This window comes from Homo sapiens, chromosome 12 (assembly GCF_000001405.40).
Source record: "Homo sapiens chromosome 12, GRCh38.p14 Primary Assembly".
Lineage (NCBI taxonomy): Eukaryota > Metazoa > Chordata > Mammalia > Primates > Hominidae > Homo > Homo sapiens.
In genome coordinates this window covers 94788917-94794916 of record NC_000012.12, presented here as the reverse complement: position 1 = coordinate 94794916, position 6000 = coordinate 94788917, and positions in this window count along the sequence as shown.

Here is a 6000-nt window from a genome sequence, read left to right as displayed (position 1 = left end):
CATCAGTTATGAAGAGTTGGGCTTAAATGTCTCAGTCCGCACTTTAGGGGAGTAATTAAGAAGCCCTGAGACATGTTCAGTGTGTACAAGGTGACCATACAGTGTAGTTGTTTATGCCTGTTGTCCTTGTGTCATTATTAACAGCATTCTCTTTCCTTCCCACAAGTGTCTCAATTAGGACAGTAAGTTATATGGTTACCCTAAATAGGATCTGTGTAAGCCCATCCTCGGGTGAGAAGTCTTAGACTAGAAACAAGGCAAATATCCATTAATGGGAGAATGGGTAAATAAATAGTGGTATATTCCTAAATCGAATACTATTACATAACAATGAAAATGAATGAAGTATAATTATGTGTGTAAACATGGATAAAACTAAACAAATGCTGAATGAAAAAGCAAGTTACAGAAGAATACCTGCTCTATATTTTTATGGACATAAAATTTAATATAGCAAAATTAGATGGTTTATTGCTTAGGGATACATATATATGTGACGAGGAGAGTATAAAGAAAAGCAAAGGAGGCCGGGCACAGTGGCTCATACCTATAATCCTAGCACTTTGAGAGGCCGAGGTGGGTGGATCACTTGAGGTCGAGACCAGCCTAGGCAACATGGTGAAACCCTGTCTCTATAAAAAATACCAAAATTAGCCAGGTGTGGTGGCGCATGCCTGTAGTCCCAGCTACTTGGTGGGCTGGGGCGGGAGAATCGCTTGAACCCAGGAGGCGGAGGTTGCAGTGAGCTGAGATGGTGCCACTGCACTCTAGCCTGTGCGGTAGAGCCAGACCCTGACTCAAAAAAAAAAAAAAAAGAAGAAAAGAAAAGGAATGATTAATTGAAGATTCAGATTGTTGGTTACCTGCATATTAAGGTTGGGGCGCCTGGAATCATGGAAGGATGCACAGCGTCATCATTCTATTTCTTAAACTGTGGGATGGGTACATAGGTATTTTGTTATTTTATTTAAAATGTGGATACACGTTATGTACATTCTCTTGATTTCTTGGAATATTTCACACAAGATATACCAAGAATAAAATGAAACTAAAACAAGATACTGCATGGTATCAGATGTTCTACTTTTTATGCTTGTTTGTTGTTTTGGGGTGATTGCTCATTGTTGAGTGAGTTTAGGGAGAAGGTAGCTAGACTTTCAAGCTCTGGACTGAGGTGACAGTGAGACTGATTTGCTAGTACCTTTAAGTCATTAAAATAAATCCTGGCCATTACAGGGAGACCATTTGGTTTTGTTTCTATTGCTGGTATTGTTGCTACCAGTATTGCTAACACACTGATGTTCATTGAGCAAAGATTTTTCTAATCCCTTAACATATATTATGTCTTTTAATTCTCAAAAGATATGCGGTGAGATAGATTCCATTGTTATGTCTGTTTTACAGTGAAGGATGATGAAGCACAGAGGGAATAGGAATTCCACACCGGCAGTGTCAGCCTTGGGATTCCAACCTTCACCGCCTGCTCCCGCTGCCGCAGTGCCTCCAGGGCCCTACCGCAGTGAAATGTGAAATTCAATCTAACCCTGACGGAGGTGCAAGCAGGCGCTTGACATTTTCAGAGTTCTACAAAAGGGTTTCGCCCCTTCCTGTTTTTGAGGATGACATTTTTGTCAGGCTCTACCTGCCCCATGTCTCAGTTGCCAGTGAGTTCCTGGAGCTCGGTTAACAGGATGGCAGCTCCCCTGGTGACCCTGGTGAGAGCAGTTTCCAGCCCTGTTGCAAGTTGGTTAGGGAACGGCTGTTTTCTGCACAAAATGTTTCTGTCTGCACCTCGGGGTGCTCTTGACCTGACTGATTTGGACTTAGTTCTTATAAATGAGTGGGAGGGGGCAGAACTGAACGGTCCTGGGTGAAATTTGAATACTTCTTCAGTTCAGGCGACAGACTTAGTATGGTTAGCTTAAGAAAAAATAAGCACTAACAAAAAAAAAAAAAGGAGGAAGCCTTCTAGATGGAGGGAACTGGATCTCAGCCGAGGGCTGCAGCAGGCAGGGAGGCCCCTCAGTGGAATAAAGCTTTGGCTTGTTGCGTCACCTCACTGTAGATTACAGAGAATACTACTGCGGCAGCTGTCATTTGCCACAAAGCCATGACTCTTTCTTTCCTTGTTAGCAAAACCAGGCAGAGGTCACCCAAACTCGGGAAAGGTGGGCCTTGCCCCTGGTTCTAGGGGCAGACAGGTGAGTGTCTTCTGGTTCAAGAGATGTAAGGGGAAATTGGTGGCGGTGGGGGGCTTCTGGGAGAAAATTTGTTTCCTACATCCGAGGGAAGTAGAGGAGGAGAACCTCTGCCTGTGCTGCTTCCTGCACTCTGCTTTGCACGCAGCCGTGCTAAGATGCGATGCTTGGTACTGCTGCAGCCATTTCATGACTATGAGGGGGAAGACTAAGAGAATCACAGAGGTGCCAACCTTGTGTCCTACCATCATTGAGTCTCCCCAAAGCACCCCTGGTACTGTCTACATTCAGATTTCTTGTTATGCAAGGAAATGGACCCCTATTTATGGAAGCTGCTGTTAGCCATATTTTATGTTATTTACAACAACAACAAAAATGGTTTTAAAAGTATTTATTCCTTATTGACTTCTTGTGAAAATAAGGGAGAATGTGTGTGTGTATATATACACACATGTGTACGTACACACGTTTACGTACACACGTGCACACACATGTGTACATATGTGTGTGTACACGCGTACATATGTGTATATACATGTGTACGTATGTGTATATACATGTGTACGTATGTATATATACACGCGTACATATGTATATATACACGCGTACATATGTATATATACACGCGTACATGTGTACATATACACACGTACATATGTGTATATACACATGTACGTATGTATATATACACATGTACATATGTATATGTGTGTACATGTGTATATGTGTGTACACATGTATATATATGCAATGAGATATATACACATGTATATATATACATATATATAACATTTATTTTTTTAAATTTTACTTTAAGTTCCAGAATACTTGTGCAGAATGTGCAGGTTTGTTACATAGGTATACATGTGCCATGGTGGTTTGCTGCACCTATCAACCCGTCATCTAGGTTTTAAGCCTTGCATATATTAGGTATTTGTCCTAATGCTCTCCCTTCCCTTGTCCCTGACTCCCTGACATGCCCCAGTGTGTGATGTTTCCCTCCCTGTGTCCATGTGTTCTCATTGTTCAACAAGGGAGTATATTTTTAACATGTCTGGAACAAAGTAGATTCGTTATAGTAGTTGCTGTCATGATTACCACCATCATCACTGTCATCCCCAAGGTATCACCATGGGCTGGTCAGAGGTGCGGAAGTGGCAGAAGAGAAGAAATGTTGAAGGCTTTTGTTTCTTTCTCTTCTTCAACACAACTTGCCTCTTACAAGAGGTTATACAAGGTATGGTGGGGGTACCTGAGATAGGGAAGGGGCATTGGAGATGGAAAGGAAATGAGGGGAGTGGAAAAAATATTAGAGGGAAGTCAGGTGAGCAGAATAGACTCATGGCTTGAACTTACTGCTCTCACATCTTATTTGCCTGAAATACATTCAGTTATCCAAGGTCCCTCATATCTATTTTGTATAAGCTTAGCATTCATGGCTTAAAAACACTGTTAATGCTTACACCCTTAAAATCTTTAATGGATATTCCTTTAAACTGGTGCCCAGGGAAAAGTGCTTTTTGACATAACAAACATTTCTGGTAGAGAATTATGATAATGAGGCAAAGTCTCTATTTTCAGCTCCCAATTACCTTTCAATCCAGTTGCCGTCATTAAGCCACACTTGCATTTAGTGTGCTGGAAGTTGGAGAAATGAGTGCATTACCATCAAAGCATGAATGGCCAGTGCTTTGCATAATCATTGCAGGAACTATTGCTCAGATTTGGCACCTGTCACTCTCGCCCTGCAGTTCTCCTGTTTGGAATTCTGCCCATGCAAAGTTCTAGTTACTGGTTTAAATCATTTTCAAACCCTGGTGTGGATTGCCTAGTCACCCACAGTTGCTTTTTCTTCATTGCACATTTTCGTTTTAAACAGAGTCCCTGTGATGATTCTACATTTGCCAAAATAGTAAGAGGAAAGACACCCTTCACTTGCTTGCTACCGCTGACAAAGTGGACACTGTGAACATCACCTTGGGTGGGAGGAAGGCAAAAGCTCCAACTGGTCTTGTTCAATGATAGTAAAATGGAGAAACGGAGACCCTGATCCTCTTGAGACATAAAGAGAGAAAGTCTTTGGTCTCCTGCAGAGCTTGTTGTGTCTAGGCCAGGGGAGGAGTTGGTGTGAGAACATGGGAGGAAATGGGCGAGGTAGGTGAATGGGAGTGCAGTGTTAGGTCCATAGGCCAGTCCTGAAATGAGGAGGATCTGTTAAAGATACCTATCAGCTGGTACCCAGCAGCACTATCCCGTGGAAGGGCTGAAGGCCACAGTGCTGGAGCATGCCCTGGGGTCCCAGCTGGATCAGACATAAATCCAAGCAGAAGGTCTGGCATGCTGGAAAAGAGATCAGTCGGTAGGGGATGCTGAGGGGACTTGAGGTACAAGAATATTTAAACAATTGAGGAACTGGCACAGCCATACTGCAGCATGCTAGCAGGAAAGCAGCTATGAACAAAACCCTTTGTGCTCCCCAAAATGACATTGTATAGGAAAGGGGCGGGCAGGGTCTATGCCTTGCATAGTTCCTGGCACATAGTAGGTGCTTGATAAATATTTACTGAAAGAAATTAATAAATGAATGTGCCACCAAAAGATGTGTCAGAAATCCTCCCTATGCGTTAAAATAATAATTGGTTTTCATGAGAACCATCTAGTGTTTTGCAGGGTTTGGAATGTTTGTATCTTATCTGATTTTCACAGCATGAAAGGCACGGGGAGGACAGGAAAAGCAATGTGTTTTTGTAGAGGGAAGAGAATATATCTTCCCTTAAATAAAACCAGAGAGAATTATTGAATCTCCTGGTACTTTTCCCTTTGTTATCTATCTTGTAAAATAATTTATGCAGGATGAAAATCAATAGTCTTTATGAAAGCAGCTAGTTCAGTGATTTAAAGGGACATAAGATGGTTTGAAGTTGTCTGTGATAGAGAATTATAAGGGAATGTCCTTTTTTTTTTCTGTTGAGAACACATGAATAGAAAATGATAACAATCACTTTCTAGCCACAGGCCCTATATCAGGATGAAACACAGTGTTTGTGCTTTAAGGTAAAATGTCTGCCAGAGGAGATGGTGGTGTTGTGTCAGCTGGCATGGCCACCAAGCAGTGTCTGTTCTGTAATGAATATAATTTTTGCTGTGGCCTTTGAATACCAAATTAAACCTAGGAAAAAAGTACATGTCCTAAGAGCTTTAAGCAGTAGATAGTTCTGATGAGCTTGCTTGGGAGGAGCTAGGCGGTATGCTATGTTGATGGAATATAAAAAAGCTTCCAGGGAGTTGGTTGATTTGACTTAGCCTGCTCCTTCCTAAAACAAATTTGGAGTGACTTCTCAACCAATGAATAATAATATTAATAAAGTGGACCTAGAAATTGAAAATCAGGGCCAGATGCAGTGGCTCATACCTGTAATCTCAGCACTTTGGGAGGCTGAGGTGGGTGAATCACTTGAGGTCAGGAGTTGGAGAACAACCTGGCCAACATGGTGAAACCCCATCTCTACTAAAAATACAAAAATTAGCTGTTATGGTGGCTCATGCCTCTAATCCCAGCTACTCAGGCTGAGGCAGGAGAATTGCTTGAACCTGGGAGACAGAGGTTGCAGCGAGCTGACATCATGCCACTGCACTCCAGCCTGGGCAACAGAGTGAGACTCCTTCTCAAAAAAAAAAAAAAAAAAAAAAAAAAAAGGAGAGAAAAGGACCATGGAAAAGAAGAAAATGCCAAACTACTATCCAAGAGTGTTAAATTAGAGCTTTTGACTGATTTTACCTGGAACTTCCTGGTAGCTGTGGC